Genomic DNA, 1,011 nt, shown 5'->3' on the forward strand with positions numbered 1-1,011 from the left:
TACCCCTGAAACAATCACCACAATCAAGGTAAGGAACATATCTATGATGCTCCAAAATTTCCTCATGCCCCTTCGTAATTTTTCTCTCTTTCCCCTCCCTACTCTACCCTGACCTCCATTCCTGGGGAACCACTGATCTGTTTTCTGTTCCTACAGATGAGTTTGCATTTTCTAGAGTTTTATAAATGGAATTATACCGGACTCTTTTTTGGGATGTAGTGGTGTCTGGCTTTCTCCACTGATGATAACTATTTTTATATTCATCTGTGTGTGTTTGTTTATTCGTTAATGCACTCATCAGTAGCTTGTTCTTTTTATTTCTGAGTATTATACTGTATGAATATACAATTTGCTTATCCATTCACATGTTGGTGGACATTTGGCTTGTTTCTAGTTTTTGGCTATTACAAATAAAGTTGCTATGTACATTCATACATGTCTTCATGTGAACATATGCCTTCATTTCTCTTGGGGATATACCTGGGAGTGGAATAGCTGGGGTAGATTTATGATTAACTTTTCAAGAAACTGCCAAATTATTTTCCAAAGTGGTAGAATCACCAGCTTTGTCTGAGGTTCCATTTGTTCCACATTCTCTTCATCACTTGGTATGCTGCTTTTTATTTACCTATTTCTTTATTCACCTATTCTTCTTCATATGTACCGGTATCTCACTGTGGTTTTGACATGTTTCCCTAATGTAGGTTTCTTACCTTTATCACTATTGACATTTTGGACCAAACAATTCTTTGTGGGGAGGGGACACTGCCAAATGTATCTCCAGACACTGCCAAATGTATCTGGCATGTAGAGGCAAAATTGTGCCCAGTTTAAAATACTGCTCTAATGACCACTGATAATGAACAACTTTTCATGTGCTTATTTGCCATCAATATGTTTTCTTTGGTAAAGTGTCTTTTTATTGCTAAGTAGTATTCTACTGTATGAATATACAATTTGCTTATCCATTCACATGTTGATGGACATTTGACTTGTTCCCAGTTTTTGGCT

Source organism: Homo sapiens, chromosome 2 (genome assembly GCF_000001405.40).
Source record: "Homo sapiens chromosome 2, GRCh38.p14 Primary Assembly".
Taxonomy (NCBI): domain Eukaryota; kingdom Metazoa; phylum Chordata; class Mammalia; order Primates; family Hominidae; genus Homo; species Homo sapiens.